Raw genomic sequence first — 13,338 nt, 5'->3', positions numbered from 1 at the left:
AGTGAGAAGCAAAACCCCCTGAGGGGCGACGATTTGTGTTGGTGAGTTCTGGGAGAGGAGATTAAAGAAATTTAACTTTTTGTTAAATTTTAAAAAACAAATAAATGATTTTTAATAAACTTATGGACTTGTGCAAACATCACAATCCAATTTGCTTTATCATAATCACACACACACACACACACACACACTTTCTCTCTCTCTCTTCTCTCTATCGCACACACTCATAGGTAATTTTTTTTCTGAACCTTTTAAGAATAGCTTGGAGACGTTGAAACTTTTTTCCTTTAAATATTTGGTGGGTGTTTTCTAAGAACCACAAGGCTATCAACATCAGAAAATTAAACATCGGTGCAAAACTATTCTCTACTCCAGAATTCACATTCAGTTTTCATCAATTGCTCTGATAATGTCTTTCATGGCTATTTTTTCCCAGGTCCACAATCCTGCCAGGATCGCACATGGCATTTAATGGTCATGGTCTTTAGTCTCCCTTAATTTGGAAGAGCTCCTCAGCCTTTCTTTGTTTTCCTTGACCTGGACATTATTGATGTATGCAGGCCGGTTATTTTGCAGAACGCTCCTCAGTTTGGCTTCATCTGATCTTTCCTCACAATTACATTCAGATTATGCATTTTTGCAGGGAATGCCAAATAATGACTCCATGTCCTTCCTGGTGCAACATGTCAGAAGGCACGTGATGTCAGTTTGTGCCAGTATTGGTGATTTTATCTTTAATTACTTGATAAGTTGATGTCTGCCAGGCTTCTCTGCTGAGAGGTAGTTGTTTTCTTCTTTGGTATTAACGGGTAATTTGTCAGGGGGATTGTCTGAAGCTGGGTACATATTCTGTTTCTCATCAAGCTTTCATCCCCCGAGTTTTAGCATTCATTGATGATTTTGCAACTCCATCATTTGTTCTCTATTAGTTGGCTTTCTACTCTAAGAAAGAACTTTCCCTTCTCCCTCATCTGTTTTTTTGTTTGTTTGTTTGTTTGTTTTTTTGAGATGGAGTTTTTGCTCTGTTGCCCAGGCTGGAGTGCGGTGGCACAATCTCGACTCACTGCAACCCCCACCTCCCGGGTTCAAGTGATTCCCCTGCCTCAGCCTCCTGAGTAGCTAAGATTACAGGCACCTACCACCATGTCTGGCTAATTTTTGGATTTTTAATAGAGACGAGGTTTCACCATGTTGGTTAGGCTGGTCTCGAACTCCTGACCTCAGGTGATCCACCCGCCTCAGCCTCCCAAAGTTCTGGGATTACAGGCGTGAGCCACCGCGCCCGGCCTGATTTCCTTCTTTTTTTATGGTTTCATAGTACTCTGTGGTGTATATGTACCATATTTTCTTTATCCAATCCGCCGTTAATGTCCTGCCGCCACCTTGACTTTAACATGGTTAGACTGATTTTGGACTTCTAACTTCCAGAACTGAAAGATAATACATTTGTGTTACTTTCAGCCACTAGCATATGGTAATTTGTCATAGGAAGCTACTACAGTCATAGAATTCAAAGCTATTGCAGAGGCCAAGATACGAGGGGAAGTGGGTCTGGACCAAGGCAGAGAGAGCTGAGAGAGTAAGTGGGAACGGCGTGGCAGACTCTGATGCTCGAGTCTGAGAGAGTGATCTTGGGACAGGAATAAAGCTGGAAAGGGCGACTGGTCCTGGAGGAGAAGCTGTGGATTTGGCTTTTGCCTGTTTTCTTTGAATTGCCACTAAAAATCTATGTGAAAAAGATGGCCCCAGAGGTCATGATGGGGAAGGTTACTCTGGAGAGTATTCAGGTTGGAGAGAGAGATGGGGGGACCTCAGGGGAAGCGCTTCAACCTATGAGGGCAGTGGAACAGAAACTTTGGTGGGAATAAGGATCTCCTGGGAGGCCGGTACAAAATGCGGATTCCCAGCCCATCCTAGAGGTGCTGGCTCTGTAGCTCTTCAGCAAGGCGATTCCGGTGATTTGGATTCTGGAGTGCCCAGGGCACAGTTTAAGAAATACTGCTTGGTGCTGGGATTTCCTGGAGAAGAAAGCACATCCTTCGAGGACTCACACACATTAGCTCCCACCCACATTAGAGGGCAGGAGGAAGGGAAGGTGTTGAAGGAAGAGATAGTGGAGAGGCGGGAGGAACTCCTATCCTGTGTTTGACAGTGGAGAGCAGTGGCTACACGTTTGTGGATTTGAACCTGGGCCGAGGAATCATTGCAAAGGCCAAAGGAGGAGTTTGGTGAAGAGGAGGAGGGTTAGCAGTGTGGAGAGCATTCAGTCCGTCTGAGGAGGAGGGTTAGCAGTGTGGACAGCATTCAGTCTGTCTGAGGAGGAGGTCCAAGGAAAGCTTCTGGAACTCGAGATCGGGGTCACTGGTAAAGTGGGCAGAGCAGTTTCCTGGGAGAAGCGGAAGGCAGGAGGCAGATGGCCGGCAGCAAGTAGGTGGTAAGGAAGTTTGCAGAGGAGAGGACAGGCATGGGAGCTCTGAGGGGGAGCAGGCTCAGGAGAGAGTTGCCTGCAGCATAGAGGCAGGTGGACTGGAGTCTCTTGGGGAGGGAAGGAGGGAGCCAGGGGTCTTGGGGAATGTGGGAATGGGGAGGGCTGGCAATGGGCCAGAGAAGGACAGAGGCAGAGAGAGGTGAGAGGGAGTTTTGATGGTGGCTGTGGTCGTGGTCGTGGCTTAGAGCTCCTCCCTCTCGCCAGCCTCAAAGGAGCTGCTTTACCTGAGTTCCTTCTTTTACTCCTCATAACACTCCTGGGAGGAAGGTATTACTCACCTCTGCTTTGCAGGTGAGGAGAAGGTTCAGAGAGATGGAGCCATCTGCCCAGGGTTGAACAGCAGGCTGGTAAGTGGTAAGCTGAGATTCCCTGAGTCTTGAGGCTCTGAGACGTGCCTGTGTTTAGTTTTTAAATTTGACTTCTGCTCTATAGTCTTAATGAGGCCTGACTTCATTCACTCATTCATTCATTATTTGCCAGATATTCATTCAGCATCTATAAAACACCTGCCAGTTTAGCACTGGGGCTGTAAAGGCAAATTGGCCATGATTGATTCCTGCCTGCACATGTTTGCTGGGTGCACCCATGTTGCAGGCTGGTATAGGGAGTGAGGTGTCTGGTCTGGGGGTGGAGCGTGGTGAGCAGAGTTGGGCAGATTCAGGGAGGTGGTGGTGCAGGCGGAGGTCAGTGGCGGGTGGCCTCCCAGGGGCCTGCATGGATAGAGAGCATGGAGGCCTAGGGGCTGTCAGTGGGGCCCTGGCTGCAGGGCTGTGGTTTGGGGGTAGGTCCCAGACCTGGGAAGGGGATTGGCAAGAGCAAGGCAGGGCCTCAGAAGTGAAGGGACTGGGGTGCACTTTGGGCCTCAGGACAGAATCCTATGGAGTTGGGATTAAGAGCTGGGCCGTGACTACCTCACACCCACTCGGATTGCGACTGTCAAAAGAACAGAAAATATCAAGTGTTGACGAGGATGTGCACGCTGTTGGTGGGGATGTGAAACGGTGCAGCTACTATGGAAAACAGTATGGCGGTTCCTCAAAAAATCAACAGTAGAATCACCATATGACCCAGCAATTTCACTTCAAAGTAAATACCCAAAAGAACTGAACACAGGGTCTCAAAGAGATATGTGTACACCTATGTTCAAAGTGGCATTATTTACAATAGCTAAAATGTGGAAGCAAGCCACATGTCCACCAACAGATGAAGGGATAAACAAAATGTGATCTATATATATAGAATAGAATATGATTCAGCCTTAAAAAGGAAGGACATTCTGACACATGCTACAACATGGATGACCCTTGAGGACATTGTGCTGGGTGAAAAAGCCAGTCATAAGATGACAAACACTGTATGATCTCACTTATCTGAGTTACCCAGAGGAGTCACATTCAGAGACAGAAGGTAGAAGAGCAATTGCCAGGGACTGGTGGAGAATGGGGGAACTCTGTAGCATAGAGTTGCACTTTGCAGATGAAAAAGTTCTGGAGATTGGTTTGCACAACAATCTGAATATATACATTTTAAAGTAGTACAGTACACTACAGAACTATCCACTTAAGGATTAAGATGGTACATTTTATATTATGTATATTTTTACCACAATTAACAACTAATTATTATTATTATTTTTTTAAAAAGAGCTGGGTCCTGGGGTCAGATGTGCCAGAGCTCAAGTCCTGCTCCTCAACCAGCTGGGTGACCTGAAACAGGTCATTTAAACTCTTTAGGCCTCAGTGCCCTCATCTGTCAGTCAAGACTGACAAGGAGCCTCTGAGCCAGGTACTACTGCGAGGCTTAAATGAGCTGGCTTGGTTGGGATACTACTGTAGCAATTGCTATTTCTCCAGCCAAGGAAACAAGATGGGTCCCCAGGAGCCCAGGCGCAAGGGTGGAGTGGATCGGCAGCAAATGGGCCCTGGCATGGGGTCCCTGCCTCCTCCTCCTTGGGGCTTCCCCACTGGTCACATGTCAGAGGGTGGTCCCAGGCTGGAGTTGGTGTCTGGCTGTGGCTCAGCCTGGTGGGTTGGAGGACTGGGATGCTGGGAGCCCTGGCTCCTCACCTACTAAGGCCTGAGGATGTGGGGAAGGCCCAGCTGGCTGACGGGAGTGCGTGCAAGGCCTTGAGTATGGTATGCCAGCAGCCCCTAGGCTCAGTGGGCAGGGTTGCTCTGGCAGCCTATATTCAGTGAGCACCTACTATGTGCCAGGTATCCTCACAGGTGCCGGGGATACAGCAGTGAGCAAACCAGCTGTGGCCTCTCCCCTCACAGGTAGCTGGGAGACTGGCCTTAGGCAAAGGACCTCCTATTGACCCACAACTCCGATGGCAGTCCGAGCTCCAGAGGAGATAAGTGGGCACCTGGGGAAGCTGGTTTAGAAGAGGGCGTTTGACTGGAGGCCTGAAGCCTGTTCAGACAGGGAGCCTGGTGCATGTGCTAGGGGCAGGGGAAGAGCTTGCTGAGCTCTAGGCTGCTCCAGGCCAGAAGGAAGCGCTGATATTGAAGGGAACGGAGGAGCAGAGTGGAAGCCCTGCTGCTGAGGGGCTGGTATTTTCCTATTAAAGGGCTGAGGAATAATTATTCTTCTACCCCCTGGGCCAAGGCAGGCTGGCCAGAGGCCTTCGCCCTTCAGGAGCCCCAGCTACCCTTTCCTTGGGGTCAGATTCTGTGCTCACTCTGCCCTTCTGGGCTGAGGTCTCCAGGACTTCAGAGTCCTCCGATACCTGCCAAGTCTTGCAGCTGCGCTCAGGGATCCCTCTGTGACCCCCTCCTTCCCCATCAACCTCACATCCTGGAAACCCCAGGCTGTACCCATTGGGGCCTCAGGCCCTCTGCCTCACCGCTGCTTGAGGCCAACGCTGGCTTTGCTCAGATCCTCGTCACCCCCACTTGAGCCTGGGAGGTCAAGGCTGCAGTGAGCTGTGATCATGCCCCTGCACTCTAGCCTGGGCAACAGAGTGAGACCCTGTGTTAAAAAAAAAAAAAAAAAAAAAAGGATGGAGCTGGGATTCCAGCCCAGGCCTGTGCCTGCAAGACCTGAGTTATTTGGCCCAAGCACTGAGCCACTTGGATTGGCTTCCCAGCTCTGCCACTCAACCTGTAGGCTCCATTTCCTCATCTGTAAGGTGATGTGAAAGATGCCTACTTCCAAGAGATGTTGTGAGAAGCATGTGGAGCTCATGTTTATGAAGGAGCCAGGCCCGTGCTGCCCCATGGAAGGGACCTGCCCCGTTCCACCGGCTACCCTGGCTCTCCTGAAGCCTGAGACCGGCCCTGAGCAGGAGGAAGACAACCCATCCTTTCCTCTTTCCTCCTGAGGGTGTCTGGAATCACCCAGCTTCTCACTTAGCAGCTTGGACCCTAAGGACGCTATTTCCTTGCTCATATTGGGCTCACTTATGAGAATGGAAGGACCTGGAAGAGAGGAGGTCGTTGGTAACATGGGAGCATCCTCTGCGTGTGGAGCTTTTTTGGGGTGATGTCCATTTGGGGAGAACATTTATTTCTTTTCCTCTCTCTCTCTTTCTAAACTTCTCTCTCTCTCTCTCTCTCTCCCTCCTTCCTTTCTCTCTTTCTTTCTGTTTTTCTTTTTCTTTCAACAGGGTCTTGCTCTCTTGCCCAGGCTGTAGTACAGTGGTGCAATCATAGCTCATTGCAGCCTCAACCTCCTGGGCTCAAGTGATCCCCCCACCTCAGTCTCCCAAGGAGCTGAGATTACCACGCCTGGTTAATTAAAATAAAATTTTCTTTGTTGAGACAGGGTCTTGCTATGTCACCCAGGATGATCTCAAGCAATTCTCCCCACTTGGCCTCCCAAAGCACTGGGATTATAGGAGTGAGCCAGCACGCTTGGCTGGGGAGAGCATTTCTTAATGTGTGTGTGTTTTTATTTTCGGAGTAGGGAAACAAAGAAACATGGAAAACCCACTCAACTAATGCTATTTAAACTGTCAATTTTAATGCAGATTCTTTCCTGCATTCAAGAAATCCTTACTGAAACATCTATCATGTGCCATGTTCTGTGTTGCACCCTGGGGGTACAATAGTGAGAAAACACGGTCTGTGTCCCCAGGGAGCTTCTAATCTCATGTGGAGGCTGGGACATCAGTCAGGGAATCCCCCAAATCAATATAAATTGGCTCTGGCTGGGGGAGGTGGCTCATGCTTGTAATCCCAGCACTTTGGGAGACAGAGGCAGTTGGATCACTTGAGGTCAGGAGTTGGAGATCAGCCTGGCCAACATGGTGAAACCCTGCCTCTACTAAAAATGCAAAAAAATTTAGCTGGGTATAGTGGTGGGTGCCTGTAATCCCAGCTACTTGGGAGACTGAGGCATGAGAATAGCTTGAACCTGGGAGGTGGAGGTTGCAGTGAGCTGAGATTGCACCACTGCACTCTGGCCTGGGTGACAGAGCAAGACACTGGCTCGAAAAAAAAAAAGCAATATAAATTGGCTCTGATTTATGCTACAGAGGAGAGGGTTGGGGCGCTCTGTGGGCCTGTGATAAGAAGGTTTGCCAATTGGAGTTCGTAGGCAAAGAGGAAGGAAGGAGCATTCCAGGCAGATGGAGTAGCAAGTCAGAAGGAGCATGGGGCAGGCTGGGTTGGTGGACACAGAGCAGGCCACTCGGGAACTTGTAGTTCATGGTAAGGAGATTTTTTTTTTTTTTGAGATGGAGTTTTGCCCTGTCACCCAGGCTGGAGTGCACTGGCACGATCTCACCTCACTGCAACCTCCGGCTCCTGGGTTCAAGCGATTTTCCTGTCTCAGCCTCCCAAGTGGCTGGGATTTCAGGCACCTGCCACCACACCCGGCTAATTTTTGTATTTTTAGTAGAGACAGGTTTCGCCATGTTGGCCAGGCTGGTCTCAAACTCCTGACCTCAGGTGATCCACTTGCCTCAGCCTCTCAAAGTCCTGGGATTACAGGCATGAGCCACTGTGCCTGGTCAGTAAGGAGATTTTTGTCTTGATTCCAAGAGCAATGGAAATCCATTGAAGGCTTTAAGTGGGGAGTAACATGATCAGATTTGCATCTTGAAAAGACCACTCTGGCTGTGGCTTGGAGAGCAGATTGGAGAGGGGCCAAGGTGAATGTGGGGAGCCTGTGAGGTGGCGCTGCAGGACTCAGGCTCGAGGATAGAGGCATGGGGCGGGTGTTGCAGCTGGCAGGTGGGATGGGGCAAATGCACCCGGGCTACCCTGCAGATTGGGGTGTTAGGCCTCTGTGGGCCCCTTTACTGCTGTCTGCGCAGTGGCTGGGGAGAGAAGTTCTTTCTTTCCTCCGTTTTCCCCGTCTGACTCTGCACACTCTCAGCGCCGCAGCCTTGGCCAGGGTAAGATTTCAAAGCAAAGAGCTGGGTGTACATTTCCCGAGTAGGCTTGTCTTATTCGGTGACAGCATGCGTGGTTTCTTTTTTCTTTTTTTATTTTTTTGAGACCCTGCAGGAAGGGTGAGCCTCTCCATCCACCGCAAGCTGTGATGAGGAAGGAACGTTCTAGTCCCTGAGGGAACAGGAGTGGCTGGAGCTCCAGGGTGAGAAATTGTGAAGCTGGTGCCAGGAGCCCCCAGAACAGCCCGAGAGGAGCCCAGGGAGTTTATTCTTGCAGCCCCGGGAAATCCCAGGGTTTCTTTTGGTTCCTCACAAACACCCAGAGACTGGGGATCAAATTCTTGTTTCCTGAGAGGATTCAAGACATCCTTGTGTGTTTTTGTTTTTCCCTTAGTAACTTTGCTTCGGAGGATTTTCTCCAAAATCTTTTGCCACCGAGGTTTTCCTTTCAGGCTAGGACCACACAGGAATGGAGGGAAATCAGGGCCATTTGCCACTGGAGCATTTTTCCTCCTTGGGGAGAAGGATAGGTGTAAACTCATGACTTTTGGAAGAGGGAGAACGCGCTTAGGGCGTCTTCCCTGGTCTTCAGCTTCCTGGGTCCTGCAGGGAAGTGAGTCTCTGACTCCTCCCAGTTCAGCTTGGCCCTGCCAGTCCAGCACCGGCTGGAGCTGAGCCAGAGGACACCACCTCCTGGCAGAGCCATGGTCCTAGAGGAAAATCACAACAGTGCAGTAGTAAAGATAATTGCAGCAGGTAATACTGCTGTAGAGAGCACGAATTGTGTGCCGGGCATTATTCTTGGTGTTTTAGAAATATCAAGACATTTAAACCTCACCACATTTCCAAGAAGTGGGTCTTACCATCATCCTCATTTTATAAATGGAGAAACTGAGGCACAGAAAAGCTAACTTACATGCCCAAGATCACACAGCCAGTGTAATGGTGGAGCAGGAATTTGAAGCCGGATGGTCTGGCTCCAGAGCCCACACTCTTGGTGACTAAGAACACTTAACTCAGCCTGGCGGGGGAGCCGCCGATATTGTTGTGTAGGCAAAGCACATGGTTTTATTACAGAGCGCCTGTGCAGCCGTGTCCTCTCCAAAGCCCTCAAGTTATGTTCTTCATGTCCAAGGCATGGCCACTCGAGGTGAGGGCATGGGATGAGGGGACAAAGGGAGAGTCCAGCAACATGAGGACTTGTGACGTAGGAGACAGAACATGGAATCACACTGGCTGGGGTCTGATCCCGCCCCACCACTTATTAGCCTTGTGGCACCATGCAAGTTGCTTCATGCATCCGTGCCTCAGTTTCCTCCTCAGCAAGTTGGAGATCATATGACTCCCCTTATAGGTTGTGAAATGAGAGTGAAATGAGATGAAGCATGCTTAGGGTCAGGCCCGGAGCCTGCACACAGTTGGTGCCCAGGAAGAAGTGGTGGGTGTGGGCTCCAGTGGCAAAACCTCAGGGAGCCCAGGTGGGCTCTGGACCTTGGGATCTTCCTGACACTCGAGGCTGGGACCTGCCCAGGTGGGCCTACTCCACCGGCTGCCCTGGCTGCCCTGGGGCTTAAGGTCCTAGCAGCATCTTCCAGTCTCCCCTGGCAGCTTGCTGGGGGAGGGGGCTCCGTGGCAACATTGAGGACCTCCTGTTGGAGGAATCAGATGCAGCAGAAAAATGTCCTCCTTGCCTTATTCTAGCAGCCTCTGTTAAGGGGAAGTGGCTGGCTTAGGTTGTGAACTTGATCCTGGTGGGAGAGAGGGTGGGCTACCCAGAGGAGGTCACTTTCTCAGCCTAAGTGGCAATGATACCTCCTTAGGCAGCCAGCCCTCAGACCCGGGAGCTTAGTGAGAGCTCACAGGCTGCGGGCTGGGCTGAGGGGCTCTCCCCTGAGAGGAGGCATTAAGCTCTGCGTTAGAGAGCAAGGCTGATGGCGGCAGGCTGGGGTGGGCTTGGGCCTCTTTTGACATTCTGGTCCAGAAGCAGGGCCCCCAGGGGAGAGGCTGTGCCTGCCTTGCTGTCTGCGCCATTGTCTTTTTCTCCCTGCTTGTCTTAGGTCTTGTGTGGAGTGGGGTGTAGGAAGTGAGGAGGAGGGGTGGGACTAAGGAATGCACCTCCGCACCTGCACTGTGGGGGCTGGTACAAAAGGGTGAGAAGAGAGGTGTGCTAATGTGGGGTGTCATCAGAATGTCATCTCCACCTCTGTCCCGCCTTAGTGGGAATTCCATCCTCAGGGATTTTTGAGTTCCATTTTGGATCCTGCCTTGTTCAGATAAGTCAGTGTTTGTCTTTGCCTCAGTTTTGCCATCTGTGAAATGGGAATAATTATCATAGTCAATTGCTTTAGTTGCCATGAAAAGGAATGAGTGATGAATGATATGTAAAATTCATCAGATTTTTCATGACTTTGATCAAGTAATTCCATTTACAGGAATGTATTCCTCCCAAATGCTCATCAAACTTTATGCAATATTGTTTATAATTGGACAATATCTAAACAGCCCAGGGATTCCAGTCACAGGGAATCAGGGAGGGAGTGGTCCAGTAACTTGATATACCCAAATGAAGGGACACTTTATGGCCAATCATAATCTTAAGTGGAGAACACACAGTGTATGACGTTGTGGAAGGAGGGGGTAACATTTGTGTCTCATTCATCCTCTTATCTTCAGAACCTTGCAAAATGCTTTGCACATAGTAAGTCTTCTGTAAACATTTGTTGAATTAACTATATAAAAATCGTTTCCAGCAAAAACAGGTTTGAGGGCAAATATTTCAGAACATTAATAAGAGTTATTTCTTAGTGATGGGATTATGTATGACTTTCATTTTTTTCTTTATTTTTTGGGAAATTGAAAAATATTCAGTAATGTGCATAGTACTCTTATTTTTAAATGCCATAACTTTTATTTATATGTTGGGTATTATGGATATTATATGTTGGATATTATGTTGGTTTATAACAACATAGATGTCTTTTAAAAAATGAAAACACTGCAAAAAAGTATAAAAAAGAAACTAAGGTCACCTTGAGTCCTACCACTTAGCAGTGACAGCCATTGTTATGTGGCATGCAGCCCCCAGCTCATTCTGTATTCATGTGTGTGTGTTTGTGAGTTTCTACATAAGCAGTTTATTAGTCCGTTCTCACACTGCTAATGAAGACATACCCGAGACTGGGTAATTCATAAAGGAAAGAGGTTAAATTGACTTACAGTTCCACAGGGCTGGGGAGGCCTCAGGAAACTTACAATCATGGCGGAAGGGGAAGCAAACACATCCTTCTTCACATGGCGGGAGCAAGGAGAAGTGCAGGAGAACTGCCCTTTTTAAAACCATCAGATCTCATGAGACTTATTCACTATCACGAGAACAGCATGGGAAAGACCTACCCAGATGATTCAATTACCTCCCACCGGCTCCCTCCCATGACACATGGGGATTATGGGAACTACAATTCAAGATGAGATTTAGGTGGGTACACAGCCAAACCATATCAAGCCGGCTCTTAGAAAAGGGTTGTCTTGTGACCTTTTCCTACGTTCTGTGTTATGCACAACTTTTGTTGTCAAGAGAAACAGATCTGTACCATTTTAAATGGCCACATGGTATTCGGTTTTGCAGATGTGCTGAATTCAACCAAGCAATACTCTACTAACATCCATTTAACTTGTTAAAGATTTTTCCTCTTATAATCAATGCTGACATATTTTTATAATAGAAAAACAACAACCAAAAGTGCCTTGTGGTTTTAGGTTTGGGAATAAACATTTCAGCCCAAAGAAAACCAGCCCTGCTTGGGAAGAGAACCACTTTCAAAGGGCTTCATGATGACATTCTCAGTGTTTGAAGAAAGGCCGGGGTGCAGAGGGAGCAGGTTGGGGTGCAACACAGTGAGGCTCAGAGTGGCTGTTTCGGGAAATAATATTTAGTTCATTGAAAAATGACCTTTACATTAAGCAGAGCCATCTCATTTGGAGAGGGTGTCCTTGCAGCATTTAGGGTGGGGAGGCAGCTCAGTCAGGGACTCTCACCAATGGCTTGTGTTAGCTTGGAAAGGCCTCAGGCCCCTCTGAGAGATCCTGTTAGGAAAGCGATGAGGAGCTGGGAATGAGTTTTTGCAGCTGCTTCTGAGGATCAGGAGCCAGGCCCACGGGACAGACAGCGGGAGGATGCGTTGAATGTTGAGACAGCCTGACCTGGTAGAAAAAGCCTGGGCCCGCGGGTCAGATGGCCACGGGTTCAGATTCCTGTTCTGTCAATTACCAGCAGGTGACCTTGGGAAGGCACCTAGCCTCTTAGAGCCACTCTCATCTATAAGATGAGCACAGTTACTACTTTTTTGCGTTGTGTGAGGGTGTGCATAATGCCCAGTTCCTGGATGATGCAGAAAAGGAATCTATGTGTTGCTGATCTTAGTGGAAGCAACCCTAGAACATCCCAGCAACCCAGATCAAGCTCGCTCTTTCTTTTTTCTTTTTTCTTTTCTCTTTTCTTTTCTTTTCCTTTCCTTTCTTTTCTTTTCTTTTCTCTTTCTTTCTTTCTTTCTTTCTTTCTTTCTTTCTTTCTTTCTTTCTTTCTTTCTCTCTCTCTCTCTTTCCTTCCTTCCTTCCTTCCTTCCTTCTTTCTTTTTTTTTGGAGACAGAGTTTTGTTCTTGTTGCCCAGGCTGGAGTGCAATGGCACGGTCCTGGCTCACTTCAACCTCCACCTCCCGGGTTCAAGCAGTTCTCCTGCCTCAGCCTCCCGAGTAGCTGGGATTACAGGTGCCTGCCACCATGCCCGATAATTTTTTTGTATTTTTAGTAGAGACGGGGTTTCAACATGTTGGCCAGGCTGGTCTCGAACTCCTGACCTCAGGTGATCCACCCGCCTCGGCCTCCCAAAGTCCTGGGATTACAGGTGTGAGCCACCACACCAGGCCGGACCAAACACTTTCTAAACACCTGGAGGACAGGGACTTTATTTCTCAAAGTAGCTTGGACTTGGGTTGAACTCTTGGCCATACGCAGAACTTTTGACTAAAATTGGCCAAGTGAGAAGACTGGGCTGCAGGTGAACATGGGGCGTGAGTGTGTGAGCATAACAGTGTGAGGAAGAGGAGCAGGCGAGTGGGGAGCTGCCCCAAGGAGACAGATGGCAGAGGGGACAGCTGGAGTGAGGCCTGAGGGAGATTCTGCTGTGTGGGGCTCAGTGGGGAACTTTCTGGGGTAGGGGGAGCCTCCCTCCTGGAATGGTCTGCCTTGGTGAGGCTGAGCGAGGCTGGGTGGGGCAGACAGCTCCTCAGGTGGGTCCAAGGTGGCCTTGGAAGGAAGGAGGGGCCAGGCAGCCCAGCATGGGGTGAGAGGAGGAGCTGTAGGCCTGGCCCCAGGACCCAGATGGTGGGGTGGCCTCGCTTCCTGGACTGCCCTCCTGCTCACTGCTGCAGGACTGGCCTCCTGTCAGGCCCCCCATCCTCCTGACCCAGAGCCTCCGCTGGCCCTCGGTTTCTCCTCTGCTTGCTCTCTCCGGCC

At 49.3% G+C, this 13,338-nt stretch overlaps 1 protein-coding gene and 1 long non-coding RNA gene across 2 annotated transcripts in view; both read left to right on the top strand.

The window, feature by feature from the left end:
- Positions 1 to 13,338, top strand: part of SLIT1 (slit guidance ligand 1) — a 187,922-nt gene that overhangs the window by 6,978 nt on the left and 167,606 nt on the right. The window lies entirely within an intron of this gene.
- The window catches only part of ARHGAP19-SLIT1 (ARHGAP19-SLIT1 readthrough (NMD candidate)), a 139,632-nt gene that overhangs the window by 113,692 nt on the left and 12,602 nt on the right, over positions 1 to 13,338 (top strand). The gene's annotated exons all lie outside the window — the stretch shown is intronic.

The sequence above is a fragment of the Homo sapiens genome, chromosome 10 (assembly GCF_000001405.40).
Source record: "Homo sapiens chromosome 10, GRCh38.p14 Primary Assembly".
Classification (NCBI taxonomy): Eukaryota; Metazoa; Chordata; class Mammalia; order Primates; family Hominidae; genus Homo; species Homo sapiens.
This window is presented reverse-complemented; position numbering and strand designations above follow the sequence as displayed.